The 14,798-nt window shown below is 48.7% G+C and overlaps 1 protein-coding gene and 1 long non-coding RNA gene across 59 annotated transcripts in view, besides 4 other annotated features; one reads left to right on the top strand and one right to left on the bottom strand.

Moving 5' to 3' along the window:
- Window positions 1-10,175, bottom strand: part of TPM1 (tropomyosin 1) — a 29,169-nt gene extending 18,994 nt beyond the window's left edge. For 21 of the 58 annotated variants that reach the window (NR_176346.1, NR_176343.1, NR_176338.1 and 18 more), the window contains exons 1-2: window positions 9,979-10,175; window positions 8,770-8,895 (exon numbers count right to left, since the gene is read on the bottom strand). Coding sequence is in view for 41 of the 58 variants with exons in the window: in NM_001407326.1 (NP_001394255.1) it covers window positions 8,770-8,895; window positions 9,979-10,092 (240 nt within the window). In the remaining 17 variants the exon portion in view is untranslated. Of the gene's footprint in view, window positions 1-2,780; window positions 2,876-4,214; window positions 4,434-8,769; window positions 8,929-9,090; window positions 9,217-9,978 lie in introns of those variants that run through there. The other 37 variants (NR_176352.1, NR_176350.1, NR_176353.1 and 34 more) reach the window with 5 other exon arrangements.
- On the top strand, window positions 3,535-6,888 carry TPM1-AS (TPM1 antisense RNA). The gene is made up of 2 exons (NR_147233.2): window positions 3,535-4,081; window positions 4,227-6,888. It is a non-coding gene; the product is annotated as a TPM1 antisense RNA (long non-coding RNA).
- Window positions 4,069-4,728: a silencer, noted in NCBI's record as "silent region_6507". NCBI's record gives its function as "represses an Ori minimal core promoter by ATAC-STARR-seq in GM12878 lymphoblastoid cells {active_cell/tissue: GM12878}" and the evidence as "EXISTENCE:reporter gene assay evidence [ECO:0000049][PMID:35858748]".
- Window positions 4,869-5,038: an enhancer, noted in NCBI's record as "active region_9524". NCBI's record gives its function as "activates an Ori minimal core promoter by ATAC-STARR-seq in GM12878 lymphoblastoid cells {active_cell/tissue: GM12878}" and the evidence as "EXISTENCE:reporter gene assay evidence [ECO:0000049][PMID:35858748]".
- Window positions 8,490-9,403: an enhancer, noted in NCBI's record as "H3K27ac hESC enhancer chr15:63335718-63336631 (GRCh37/hg19 assembly coordinates)". NCBI's record gives its function as "activates a minimal SCP1, AML or CMV promoter by ChIP-STARR-seq in naive and primed H9 embryonic stem cells {active_cell/tissue: H9 hESC(naive and primed)}" and the evidence as "EXISTENCE:reporter gene assay evidence [ECO:0000049][PMID:30033119]".
- Window positions 10,317-11,231: an enhancer, noted in NCBI's record as "H3K27ac hESC enhancer chr15:63333890-63334804 (GRCh37/hg19 assembly coordinates)". NCBI's record gives its function as "activates a minimal SCP1, AML or CMV promoter by ChIP-STARR-seq in primed H9 embryonic stem cells {active_cell/tissue: H9 hESC(primed)}" and the evidence as "EXISTENCE:reporter gene assay evidence [ECO:0000049][PMID:30033119]".

Here is a 14,798-nt window from a genome sequence, read left to right as displayed (position 1 = left end):
GAATTCAAGATATGCTTAATTTTATAATTTAATCAGGGCCACTTTTTTCTCTTTCTTATTTTTACTTTTTATTCTGATTTATTATGCTCTATGTTCCAAAAGCCCCACACCTCTCACCTTTACTAGCTTTTATTTCTGGTATTTTTTTTTTTAAGTTTTGAGCTTATTTCAATATTTTCTAAGGTTCTTTTCATCATGGCACCTGGGGAGTCTTAAGGACCTGCTGTTGCCTCTGCCGGTACAAGCCCATAGACACATGACCATCTGTTATCTAAAAGCAGAGATATAAATAACAAGGCATTTGGGGAGGGTCAAGACCCCAGACACAAATTATTTGCAGGCATGTAAATCACTCTTAGTGTACTGAGTTAGCTTTCTTCTTCTTCTTCTTTTTTCTTTGAGATGGAGTCTAGCTCTGTCTCCCAGGCTGGAGTGCAGTGGCATGACCTCGGCTCACTGCAACCTCCACCTCCCGGGTTCAAGCGATTCTCCTGCCTCAGCCTCCCCAGTAGCTAGGATTACAGGCACGTGACACCATGCTCGGCTAATTGCTGTATTTTTAGTAGAGATGGGATTTTGCCATGTTGGCTAGGCTAGTCTCGAACTGCTGACCTCAGGTGATCCACCCGTCTCGGCCGCCCAAAGTGTTGGGATTACAGGCATGAGCCACTGCACCCAGCCAAGTTAGCTTTCTTCTAACAGCAGCCCATGTGCTGACTGCCAGTGAAGTCTTTCAATCTGGGATGCTAGTTTCTTTTATTTCAAAAGTGCTATTGTGTTCTAACAATGAACTACTCAAAAAAGAGACTGCTGTATTAGTAAAGGCTACCAATGTCCTCCTGCAGATGTTTTTAAGTAACTTCCTGGTGCTCTGTACTTGAGGTGCCTTACAATGCATATGACCCTCCTCTAAGGGCATGCACCCCATTCCCCCACCCCAACATGGTACTATATAGAAATCAAGGGCATGCCCACCCCACCATAGTATAATATTATCCCAAATCAGATTTGAAAAAAAAAAAAAAAAACAACTTTTATGAGGCCTAGATTTTCATGAAATCCAGATGTTTTAGCCAATACAACAACAGAAAATTAAAAATGGCAGTGACTTTTACTTTTTAAAAAAGTATTCCAGTTAAGGTTATTAAGAAAAAATACTGGTGGGAGAATATTATAATCTAGAAATCAATCCTCTGGAATATGTTTCCAAAGTCCTGACTGAACTGGAGTGGAACTTGGGATGATCAAAGGTCAGGTCTTTTTATTTCATGCAAACTGTAGTTATACGAAGAAGGTTTCACCCAACTTGCTGTGTAAGGCCAAGTGACCACAGCCAAGCTAAACTTCTGCCCTTATATGGTAAGGAAAGGGGGGAAAAAAAAAAACACTGATGACATTAAGGGGCACTCCCATGGATAACAGATAAACACAACCTCCTGTGTGTGCCAAAGCCCATAATTTATGAAGCATATTTGTATAATGAGGGAGAACAGACATGAACAAGGCATTGTAGTGCCTCTGCCTTGCCTACATATGAAAGCGGAAATCGAGAGTATACATTCCAGTTAACAGCCACTCTGGGAGTGCCAATGCAAGCACAAAATGCACCCTCGGTTTTCCTATCCCGGAAATACTTACCAAGTGTAAAGAGGGAAAGTGCTGGGAATTTTTGTAAATTGGTTATTTCCCATGATTTAATCATGTTACTAATTAAGAACCTTCTGGCCACAACTCCCTGTCTCCTTGTTTGCTGGATACTACTCAGAAAGGAAGATTCATCCTGCCTTTTTCTTTAAATAATGAAAAAAAGCAAACATAACCCTAGTGGGTCACAAGATCTGGAATCAATCATGTCAAGCAAAGTAGCCTCATTCCAACATTTTGAAGGATCCACACACCTTGGAAACACAGACTAGGAGGAAGTAAGGGATGGCTGCTTTTTCCAAGGTAAGGGCTGGTTTAATAGGGCCTATTAATTACAGTCTGAGTATTTGAATTTAGGCCAACTCTCTGGTCAAATATTTTTTGCAGTGGCTCATGGTTTTGTCACTAAACCTTTATCTTTGCTGCCAAAAGAAACTGTTACTGCTAGCTTAACTCACAGCCCAAGCTACATCTAAATACCTAAGTCAGCTACATTTAAGTTCCAATTTCAGAAGTTAGGAACAACTTGCAGCCTGAAAGTCTCTCTTCAATGGTCTGATCCAGTCTTCAAGTTGCTGTCTTAAAAGGTTCTGTGTTCAATCAATCACCCAGGTAGATTGTTTGCAAAGATTACTTAAAAAAATTGAAACTACTTAAACTACTTTTGATATAAAGCCGTGAAAAGAACGAAAGTACTATCTTTAGCCAACTGGCACAGGAAGAGTTCTGTTATAAAAACGACGTGCAAAAGAGAAGGTAAGAATAAAAGTAATAATGTGCCCTTCATAAAATTTATCTTTTGTGTCTAACATCAATCACTAGGCCAGGAGCCAATACAAGGCTCTCCTGCATAGGGTCACACATACTCTTTCTTAGCAGGGTGAGGAGACCTCAGACTTCTACCACTGATACCACTTTAACCCATCAAACATGCCTACCAGCCCGCCCACTTCCTCTTCATTCAAGCCCCCCGCCCCAACAAATGTTGATTAAAAGCAGTAAATGAAGTGTTTTATGATGTCATGAAATGAGCAGGCCATCTTTAAGACCTCTTGCTGGGTGGGGAACTGAAGGTGAAGGAGCACTGGGCTGCCAGGGCTGTGCAGTTTTAATGACAGCGGGCACACAGCACTTACCCTTTTGCGCCAAGCATCAGTGTACTGTCTTTACATAGTAACTCCTTTAACCGACAGGTAGATGCTGTTACTATCCACACTTTACACACAGGGAACTGAAACACAGAGATTAAGTAACTTGCCCACTGCTAGTAAGTAGTGGAGACAGGATTCAAGTTCTGACAGTCTGGGTCCAAAGTTCTTGTTTTTATCCATCATATTCTATATAGTTCTAATGGTTCAAGGACAGCTACTAGCGAGTAAGGGAGTCGGAATTAGTTTACCACCCAGCCAAGTTCAGGGATATCCACAGGACTTTTGCTGACTCGTCCTATAAAGCAAATACTGAGAATTATCTTTTGCCTATTAATTTCCTTATTCCTGCTTGTATTTTATCTGAAACTTTCTCTAGTTGAGCTTTCCTCTGAAGAGGACCATTTCAGGTCTTGAAGTTTCTGTGGCCAGCCATACAGCCATTTACAAACACTTAACTAGAACGATTTACTCAACTCAGAACAACCCCGTATATTAAGCACAGCAGGACATCATACTATCAATTGTCATAAAACTCCCAAGGTGTTTGTTTCAGTATCTTCATTAAAAACACACACACACAAAATCGACAAATATCCAATACTAGACTACCTCTGAAATCCTGTTCGTGTTTGCTGGATACATTTGCCTTAGAAGAAAGGAAGGAAGCCAGGTATTACATTTAACAAGGGGGAGGGGAAGCCCGCAAGAGAATACACCCAATAACTGTTGACATTTCGCCAACTTTTTCCAAGACTTGGTAACAAAGCATTATCTATCTGTATGAGAGAAAAGGGGAGGAGGACTGCTGAAAAAAGGGACGGGTTAAGGGTTTTGCACTATAGTTTAGCTCTTCCAGCAGAACGCGGCGCTGTCAAGCTGTCAATGTCTGTCTACCGCCTCGGAGACACAGGCCGCCGGGAAACCACAGGGTCGACGGGAACGGCGGAGTGTAGCATCCCCGGGCCCCAAGTCCACAGTGCCTCTCCCACTTGACCTGTCGGCGCCCCTTCTCAAAGTACGGATCTCCAAGAGGAAGGACCTCCTCCCTCTCCACTCTCAGAGTAAAGCAAGCCAGCAGCGCAAAGTGCACCTCCCGGGGACGCACAGACACGACTGAAAGCCACCACCCCAGAAACAGACCCTTCCTGGGAAAATGCTCCTTCCAGAACCTTCTCAACACCACCCGTTTCCCCTGGGAGCGTTTACTTTGGATCAGCGAGATGGAAAACAAAGGCTCAGGAGAACAGGCCGGGCCCCTCCCCAGAGCCCGCCGCCAGCTGGCCCAGGTGCGCCAGGTGCGCCCTGGAGGCGTGGGGACGAGGGACCGGGGCCTGCGGGGGGGGAAGCAGGAGGGCCCTGCGGGGCTGCCCCGGGAGGATGCGCCTCTGGGGGCTGCGGGGTGATGGGTGTATCCCTTACGGTCTCCCTCAGCTTCCTCTCGTGGTCCAGCTCGCGCTGCAGGGTGCCCGCGCGCTCCTCAGCGGCGTCCGCCTGCTCCTGCAGGCTCCGGATCTTCCTGCGCACCGCCTCCAGCGAGCTACTCCCCGCCATCGCGCCGGACGGTAGGCGGGCGGGAGGGCTGCAGTGGGAGAGGCCGGCTGCTGCCCTGCGGACCCGGCTGCCGCGGCTGTCCTGGCTGCCCAGCGCCGGTCCGCCCCGCCCAGGCCTCTCTGTGCGATGGCGGCGCCCCCTGCGGCCAGGAGCAGTCCGGAAGTCGCAGCCTCCAGGGCTGCGCAGACAAACCGCAGGCGGGCGCGCGCGGCTGGGAGGGGCGCGCGCCGTGGATCCCGGGACTGGCTGGGGGCACTGCGCATGCTCGCGGCGGCGGGGAGAAAGGCGCTCCCGGCGCGCTGCGGGGGTACCTGGTGAGCTGGGCGCTCCGGGAGGCCACTGCACTAGGGCTCTGGCTTCCACTTCTAGGGCCCCTCCGCGGCGCGGTGGTGACCCGGGGTAACGGAGCTGGCTGCTAAGGGCAATAGCGACTCCTGCTGGCCGCGGGAGCGCTCCGCTCCCGAGTCCAGATTCCCATGCCCGGGAGCCAGAGAAGCTGAGCGGCGGGTCTGGAGCCGGAATATGCCCTAAAGGGCCTGATCCCAACCGCAAGATTATAACCCAAGCACTACCCCCATTCCCCAAAACTTCACGAAGTGAAAACCACCCGCGTGTAGAGCACAGTGGTTAGACCTCCTGTTCTAAATGCAGTTTTCCTAGGTTGACTCTGGCTCCTAGTTTCCTGCTGCGTGACTTCGGACACATTACCTGTCTTCTCTGGGCGTCATCTGTAAAAGTGGGAATAATAATAGTACTTTCCCCATGGGGCTGCTATGAGAATTATGAAGGACTGTAAAGCGCTTAGCACAATACCTTGTACATAGTTAAAAACTCAAATGATAGCTACGATTAAGAAATACACAAGCATTGTTTTAAGAGTCAGGCTGAGGCCCATAATCAGCTGTGTAATCTCAGGCCAGCCTCCCTGGGGCTCACTTTCCATGAAAACAGTCATCCAAATGGTCTCTTCTCTTTACAGCCTTCTTTGGTGTCAGACCAGCCTCTGAGATCTCCTGGAATCCAGTCAGTCCTGGGCTGGACTGGGATGCCTTTAAAAGGCACCCCAAGGAAAGCCACAGAACCCTATGAGAGAGCCTCTGGCTACAGGTGGAGAAAACCACCGCAGATACAGTCTCCACCGATTTCCCCCTTGAGCTGTATTCTTAAATGCCTTCTAAGTCTCAGGGCTTTTTCTCCTCAGGTTTGTCACAGAAAGCTCTTAAAGCCAGCTCCCTTATGTGTGGGAATAATAAAGAAAACATGCTTGACAACCCTCTCCTCCTCCAAGCCCTAACAAGGAACTTTTGCTTTCCTGCCTCATTTTCTGTGGAGTTCCTCACAGCCTCTGCTGAGACTCTCACAAATCCCAGCTTGGGTCCTTGCATCCTGTAGGTGGGAGCTTCTCGCTTTGTTTCCCCGCGGTTCATCTGGTCAGGTGGGGAGGTTACAGCTGGTCCCCTAAGTGCAGAGACTGTGGGCCTCCAACATTGAGAATGGGGGAACCGGGTGTCTGGCAACCTCCAGGAGCAGCCAGGAAACTGCTGGACACTGGCAAGTGCCATAAGCAGCCAACTAGTGACTTAATGTCCTGGGAAGGTCAGTTTCAGGTGAGTTCATTTTCATGCCGATGTCATTATACAAGAGTTTAGGAGAGTTTTCTCATCCTTGTCTGTAGGTTGGAATCACTTGGGTATTTTTTAAATGCTGCCGCCTGGGTTGCATCCCCAGGGATTCTGATTTAACTGGCTTTGGGTGCATCCTAACTTTGGGTTTTAAAAGCTCCCTAAGTGATTATGTTTAGAGAAGGTTGAGAATCCCTAAGTTAAGAAGTAAAGACCTACAAAGGGATAAAGACTCATATGCTATAAATATCAGATATATCACAGTTACTGGGGAAGAGATTGGGGGCCAGAAAAAAATGGAGTCTTCGATCCCCTTCAGCCTCACTTTTGACTTAGGTGGAAAGACAACACAAAATTCGAAACAAGACCATCAGGGATACTACTCCTGAATGACAATCTTCTAAGCTAGGTAGAGCCCACTTCCAGAATAGGATTTGTAAAGTAGTAGAAAAATGTTTTTAGTAATAATAGTAGAAAAATGTAAAAGTGTTTTACACTGGTGAATAATGACAATGAAATGTCCTAATCCCAAAGGTAATACGATTCCACCTCAGGAAGCTGACTTCTCCCTTACCGGACTTCTCCCTTTTTCTAGTGACATCTGTCTCTTCCTCCTCAAGTTTTGACTATTTTTTAGTAAATAAAAAACGAATACTCTCAATATGGTCATGCACTGCATAATGATGTTTTGGTCAATGAGGGGCTGCATATATGAGAGTAGCCTCATAAGATTACAATAGAACTAAAAAATTCCTATCGCCTGGTGATTTGTGTTACAATTGTTGACAGTATTCAGTACAGTAACACACTGTACAAGTTTGTAGCCTAGGTGTTTAGTAGGCTATACCCTCTAGGTTTGTGTAAGTACCATACACTCTATGGTGTTTGCACAATGAATAAATCACCTAACGACACATGTCTCAGACCTTATCCCCCTTCATTAATCAACAAATGACTGTATAGCATTTCTTCACTAACTTCTTCAATATTCCTACGGGCTCCAAACTCCAGACAACCTAAAGTGTCCTAAAAGGGAATGTGATCAATACACTATCAAAAAAGCCATATATGCCAGATTTAGGGGCAGTTTCCCGGTGGGAAAAATAACCAAAACAAGATTCAAGAAGCTCCCTCCCCTGCTGCTTCCCACACCAGCTGACTTTAAATAACTTCTTTCCCATTTCTGCCCCACCCCATTCCAGCGCTCCCTTCAACAAGACTTTTCAATAAAGACATGTTAGCACTACATAGTTACAATAATTATTATCCTATTTTTTTCCCTTAAGAATTGTAGTAACCTTTTTCTCCCTCTTTTGCCTTCAGTCTTACTGGGCTATTTTCAAATTCTCTGCATTCTTTTCCTTATAAGGAATATCTTTCCTTGATCTATTAGCAGCTCTTTTGAAAAAGCTAAATAAACGTCCTGCTGGAGAATTTGCGGGAGGCAGGCATCTTCCATTTAGCCATATATAGAGCAGGCATCTGATCTGCATTATACAAAGTAGGCTCAGAGTCATATATGGTTTTTGGCTCTTTTTCCAAAGCCAGGTAGTTTAGAATTTAAATGTTTTAGCGAAATCAGTGCTTCCCCCCAAATCCCCTTTCCAGGAAGCTTGATTTTCACTGAAAATTTCTTTTTGTCAGATCCTAAATGTCGTCTCTGGAGTTCTCATTTACAAAGCACACCTGGATATACATCTCAAGCCTTTCATGCTACAAAAGACTTCACTAATTTCAAGACCTGAGACCCTTCAGTTATTTGCATGTTACTTTCATATAAAAAAGTCTGCTGTTGCTCTCGGTGTTTCAACTGCTGGCATAGCTTTCCCTGGTGCTCACACATTCTTGGAATTGTTACCAACTTCCCAAGGAATTCTTTTCTAATTGGGCCTCTAGGCTTAATTAGCTTTTAGAATGGAATCCAACGGTGTGAAAAGAAGTTGGTCCTTTGGCTTGACTTTCCGAGGCAGAAGAGGCAAGCTATCAATTAAAAAGCTTCCAAAGGGCAGTGGACAAAGAGCTTAGGAGAGCCTTAGCTGTGTGCATCACCCCTGCAACTATGTGGTGGTTGTCAGAAGGCTGACAGGTGGGGGCGGGGCCAGCAGGAGGGGCAGGGGGCAGCTAGCTCACTATACCATATAAAGCACTGAGCTATATATAACTCACAGCTTACTTTCTGGATCTAGTGCCTTCAGACTGCAGACCCAAGCAAGTATCATCTTCCCAGGCAGATCTTAAGGGGTGGATTAAGGCTTACACTAATGAGAAAGGAAGCCTCAAAGTGTCTCTGTGCCCCACCATGAAGTGCAGCCATCTAAGTAAAGGTACCGCTGTGTCATTTCTTTCATTTAGAGGCCAGGTTCTCTGAACCCTGACTAGACCCACCACCAAACCCAGAACTTCCCACCCACTGGAAACGGCAAAAGGAAAGAAAGTGAAGAAAACCTGGCATTCTCTACACAAACCTTGGTGATGACACCTCAAGGGTTTTCTGCCACCAGGGAGGTGAAGTTCACCTCCAGAGTCCAATTTCAGCTGCTCTATTCTCCCAGCCTCTCATCCACCCACCTCCACCCCCAGGGAGGTAAAGGAAAGGAGAAGAAGAGAGGAGTGGATGAAATATAAATGAATGTGTGCAGTAGCAGTCAGAGGCGGCATCCAATGCTCTGGGCCATGGCAGGGCTGTGTGCAGGTGTCCAGCAGGAAAAGGTAAACTTCCTTCATTGCTCTCCAGCCCTGTGGTGACCCCGGAGTGGCCACGCAGGCAAGAGGTGAGGGAAGCAGTGTGAGCGTGCACTTACATCGGTGGCCTTTTTCTCTGCCAGCTCCAGCTTCTCCTGGGCATCTTTGAGAGCCTCAGAGTATTTGTCCAGTTCATCTTCGGTGCCCTTGAGTTTCTTTTGCAGTGACACCAGCTCATCTTCCAGCTGGGAGTTGGCCAGGGGGTACAGGGAGGGAGGGGGGTGCAGCAGGCAGCGTGATCCCGAAGGGGAGGGGTGTGGGTGCACAGAACCAGAAGGACAGGGACAGCGGGAGAGACAGAGGGAAAGACAGGGAGGGAGAGAGAGAAAGAGAAAGAGTTAGCCATTCGTGCGCCACGCCGTGCCGCGCGCCCCGGGTACCTTGGCGGCGGCCTCTTCGGCGGCCAGGAGGCTGTCCTCCGCCTTGTGCAGCTCCTCCAGCACCCGGTCCCGCTCGTCCTCCGACACCCGCAGCAACTTCTCCTTGGCCGCGATGTCCTCCTCGAGCTGGGGGCAGCGGCGGGCGGGCGCGGGCGGCCGGCACGGACCGGGTGTTAGACACACACAACACACGGGCGTCGGGTTGGCTGGGGCCCCTCGGGCTCGGGGCGCCGCCGAGTTGGAGTGCAAAGGACCCGAGGTAACTTCCTCTTTACCCGAGCTGGAACCGCTCCGCGGCTCACCCCGCACACCCACCTGCCCTGGGACGAGACTCCTGCCGAGGTCTCAGCGGGCTCAAGTCCACTACTTGGGGACACAGAAGAACGCCACTGCTGGCCTGGCTTTCGGGCTGTAGCCTCCATTCCGCCCCATCTTTGTTCTTAGGTAACAACTCCAGGACTCCCTTCTCCTCCCCAAGTTTAAGGTTCCTTTCTCCCCAGTCAAAAGTCAACGAACTTCTAACACTTGAGTTACTCGACCCCCTTTCTCCATCCCTCGCCCTTCCTTCAAACGTCCCCAGGAACCGGGTGTCCTCCTCCCTCCCCCAAACTGATTCCCAGTCCTGAGAATAAAGCGCCTCTAGGACTTGATTTCGCGGGCCATGGGAACCAGAGAAGGGAAATAAGCGTCCTCAGACCAGACTAAGTTAGACTAAGCCTGGCTCTTGCGTTTCCCTTCCTTCTTTCCAGACGCGCGCCCTGGCCGCCCTGGGTGGTGGTGGGGGTAGGGTGGTGGCTCCCCGAGTCCTCGGGGTGGGGATCCAGCCGGGGGTGCCAGGCTCGAGTCCCGGCGCTCTGGGCGCGGGCGCAGGGCCGGGGAGGCGCAGACCTGCTTGCTCCTGTCTTCCGCCGCCTTCTTGTCGGCCTCCGCCTGCTCAGCTCGATCCAAGGCGTTCTCCTTGTCGAGCTTCAGCATCTGCATCTTCTTCTTGATGGCGTCCATGGTGGCGGCGGCGAGGGGCCCTGGGGCTGCAGCAGGAGCGGCGGGGCGAGCGCGCGGTCGGGCGGAGGAGCGGGAGTGCGAGCGCGGAGCCGCCTGCTTCTCCCAGATATGTACTTTCCCAAGGGGGCGACCGCATTCCTCAAGACAGCCAATACTTTTTTGGAAAAGCTTTTTTCTCCTGCCCCCCTTCCTCCTCTCCTCCCTCCGCCCCGTGCCCCCTCCCCGCTCCTCCCGCGGGGGCCGCTCGCCCATTCGCTGCCGGCCGCCGGCCTCCCAGTTGACGGTGGATATGACTATATATGGGGACCCGAGCCGCCGAGGCGGCGGCCGGAGAGGCCGCCCTGTTTCTAAACCTGCGCGCCAGGGAGAGGGCGTTGGGGCCGAGCCGGGGCCGAGGCGCAACCCTCCGCCCTCCGCGTGCCCTTCTCCCAGGGCCGGCACCCAGCCATTAGGGTCCCCAACCGAGCCCGCCCTGAGCTGCCGGAGGCCGGGAGAGCGCGGACCAGGTGGTGGATGCGCGTCGCCCCCCTGTGCCGTCCCCCGGCGCGCTTAGCCAAAGGCCCGGGGGCTTCCCAGCCGTGCTGCACCCCGCGTCAGGGTCAGTGCGCTCTCGGCACCCGCCAGCGCCTCCCCGGCAGCTCTCAGCCAGCCAGGTGTCATCCTGCGCGCTCACGCTCTGGAAACTCAACTGCAGCAGAGAAAGGGAGAACGTGGGAGAAAGCCTGGGGCGGCTCTTGAGACTTTCTCTGCGGGCGCGGGTCAGAGAGGCAGGGGGCGGCACAGCGACAGCACACGGAGTCTTGTTTTCTGCCTGCCCTTTCCCCCAGCGGAGGGACAGTCAAATACTTTAGGGACACAGGACTCAGTGGCGTACTTCTGTGCTTGCTGTGCAGTGCCTCCAAAAAGGTGTGCATGTGTGCGTGTGTGTGCGGGTGGCAGTCTAAGGGGAAAGAACATTGAGTTTAGACTCAGGCAATTTGGTCTGTGGTCTCTACTCTGCCACCAGCAACTGTGAGACCTTGTTTGCTGCCCGCGGCTTCCTCAACTTTAAATCCAGCGGGTAGATAATCCCCGAGGTCCCTCCAGATATAACTTGTTATCATTTTTCTTGCACTGATTTTAGGGAGTCGGCCTTCCATGTTAGATGCTTAGGTGCCAGGTTTCGGAAAACATGGGATCGGCGTTAACCTGGCTAAGTCATTGCATCCGCAGCCGCAACTCTGAGGAGGCTCTGCCGTGTGAGCTGTGCTTGGAAGGAGGAGGATTTCCCCCAACACTTCTTATTTTTAACTACTCCTCCCATCTCCCAAGGGGGAAAGGCTGCTTTTTTTCAGAGCTTCAGTGGGAGGGGAGGAGAGGGGGCTGCCCCCAAGCCCTGAGATCAGCTGAGGCAGGGTTGGTGAGGGTCTTGTTAATAGTCCCCACAGAATAATTCACAGTCTGTACTGCATGGTTACCAAATATTCCCCGGACGGTATCTGAGCAGATTAGGCAGGCCAAACAACTTGTAAGTCCTTCAGAGAATGATCAAATTCCTCTCCAAGATTTTATCGGGTTTCTTCCACTAACCTAACTGCCCAGGAGGGAAAAGATACACTGACCTAATGGTCAGAACATTAGATCTGACCATTAGCATAGGGGCTGCGTGGCACAGAAATTGACCAGAGCCCTTTAATCACGGTGTGTCAACCCAGCCACCGGAACAGTGACAAAGTTCCAGGCATGTGGACGATATCCAGATGCGTGGACTCCAGGGAGCTGACTCCCCAGGTTGGAGCTCAGCAGAGGAGGCAAGAATAGGGAGTTAGGAGTCAGTTCCAGGGATCCAGACCTGGCCTGGTCACTTCCTTGCAGTGTGACCTTAGCCATGTTACAATCTCTCTAAGCCTTTTTTCTCACTTATAAAAAGAGGCAACTGAACTAGAGAAACTCCTTGCGGGACCACATGTTACTGACTTTTCTTTTCTTACTGTGCCATATGTAGCCGAGGGACTCATTAAAGTTTCCTTAAATGAAATCATGCTACAAGCAATTTATTAAACACACGGTTGTTGAGTACCTGCTATATACTAGGCAGGTACTAGGCTCTGGAATCCAAAGAATGAGTAGCACAGGTCTATGTCCTCCAGGTGTTTGGCATGAGAAAGGTGTTAAGAATTCACACGAGGAAGAAATAGAAATGACTAGGTCAGAGCAGATGGGAAAAAATTCTCTGAAAAGGTGATGGCTTTTAAACTGATTTTAAAGGAAGGGTAGCAGTTAGCTAGAGAGGAGGGCCGTTGTATGCGCCAAGGAAAGAAAAAGGAATGTTTGGTGGTGGTTGGACAGTAGGATTTTGGGGGTGAATGGGGGCATGAGACTGGAAAGGAAGCTTGGGGCTGTATGATAAAGGGCCTTGAATTCCAGATTCAGACATTCAGACCTTATTGTGTAGTTTAAAGCCATCGATGTCTCTTCTTTTCACCTCTTCCTCTCCCAGACTCCCTCACCTAGGGCCTATATTCAGAGGTCGAAGCCTATGGTGTCAAAGTATGGAAATGGAGCTATACAACGCTAACTTTTAAAATCCCTTAGTACCACATCATTGATCTCTAGACTGATGGGTTAACATAGCAGGTCCTGAATTCAATCATTTCTTTTAACCCATGTTGAGATTCTGCCATGTGTCAGGCCCAAGTCAGCTTCATGGGCTATACCACCCATGACCTTTTTGTCACCAAGGGCTAAGACAAAGCTAGGACAAGCAAAACGTCATGACTTAAATAACACATTCTTCTGTAGTGAACAGGTCTCCTGGTCCTCTCCAGAGGTAGGCTGGACAGTCACAGGCTGTATGTAGTGTGTATCCCTGTTCTCTGGCTGATTGGCCACAACTCAAGGATGGATCTAAATACTAACCAGGGACTTGGCGTTGTGGCTTGTCAGGCAATGATGAACTGGGCCACTCAGCTTCTTTCATTGCAGTTTGAATTAAGGAACGTGAAAAATGGGAATCACTAGCCGTGGCTGCTGAAACAAAAAGGGATTGCAGTGTCGGGCTGGAAATGCCACGTGTAAAAGTGATTAAGGTTATTCACAATTTTTTAGGTTTTCTCCCCAGTCAATGTCGTGGTAGCATTGTACATCCCACCCAATTAAGTTGGCTGTGGCCATTTGACTTGCTTTGGCCAAGGAAACGTGAGCAGAAATGACTTCTGGTGGATACTTAAAGAGCTCACGACTAACCATGTTCATTTTTCAAGACTGTGGCTGCTCTGTCATTGTGGGTTTTCAAGTGGCTCCCTCTTTCCCCCCAACTAACCCTTGGTGGACATGTAGTGAGAATAAGATATAAATCTTTGTTATTTTAGGCCACTGAGATTGGGGGTTGTTTGTTACTGAAGCATAACTAGCTTCTCCTGACTAATACAGCACAATAGGCATGCATCAGCTAAGTTATGAAAAAGCAGAGAAGTGATTATAGAGAAAGAATGAAGCAGGCATATCAAGATAAACAGAAGCACCATTTAGAGAAAGAGATTGGGAGAATATGACCAAATTTCAGTTCCAGGGGTCCTTATAATAACCCCCTGTATTTCTTGAGGTTACATAAGCGAGTCTATATTCCTTGAAAGTAAAAAGCTTACCAAATCATGGTGGCATGACAGCCTGCACAACATTCAACATTCTTGGCCTAGAGGCTCTACGTGATCACCACGAACATGCTTGGAATTTCCAGATTTCTCCAGTGCCTGGTATTCAGTCATTTCTCAATGAATGTTTGTTGAACAATTTTTTTTATGACTGACAAGTCCAGCTTTCTTACTGACTTACAAGAAAGTCTGGGAAGGTAAAGTAACAAATCTAGGTTCAAAAGATCTTGTTTCCATTCAAAATATGGGCTCTGTGTCTTATTTCATGAAGAATGAATATAAGTATTGTGATAGGGTAAGACAAATGTCTCCAAATATTTATTGGACACCTTTTGTGTGCAAGACATTTAGGGCTTATGGGATCCAGGGAAGCAGACAAAAGACATGGATCTTTTTCTGTAGGAAAAGTGTCTATGTATGATGCAGGGAGAACCCTCTCTTTGGGAGTCATTTAATATGTATTTCCCATGGCATGACCATCAGCTCAGTTGGTCACCTGGGGCCCTCTATAGTTATGAGGATCACATATCTCGGGTTTTCTAGGAAAGCTTTAATATTAAATATGCTGCCTTTTTCCTTCCATAAAACACTTGTATGTGTCATACTACATTTATCAATATTTGGTTACAAAGGAGAGTCAACATGAGCATCATTTCCCAATGTGACACCTTTAACAGGAATGCCCACTTGAATATGTACATCAGGGTTTGTTTGTTTGAAAAAACAAAATGAAAACCTCATTACCTGATAGTCACCCCTTGTTTAACAGCAATAGCCCTGCCGGTGTACTGTGACTCCCCCAGAGTCAACAGTGCTGACTGAAGCAATTAAGGGAAAGTGAAGAATCTATAATTAAATGGAGAGACGACTGCTTCTTCGTCTCTTTTGGAATGCAGCGTTTTATGCTCACGACTCAGTGTCCCTGGAACAAGATACGGCATGCTCTCCTCAAACACTGGGAGTTGTGTTTCCCAAGGGTTTGTGATGCTACCATCAAGGCCTCACAGAAAATATGCTATGCTTCCTGGGGGCGGGGGGTGGGGCTGGTTTGGATCTCTGAGAAAGGTCTTTAGG

This window comes from Homo sapiens, chromosome 15 (genome assembly GCF_000001405.40).
Source record: "Homo sapiens chromosome 15, GRCh38.p14 Primary Assembly".
Taxonomy (NCBI): domain Eukaryota; kingdom Metazoa; phylum Chordata; class Mammalia; order Primates; family Hominidae; genus Homo; species Homo sapiens.
This window is presented reverse-complemented; position numbering and strand designations above follow the sequence as displayed.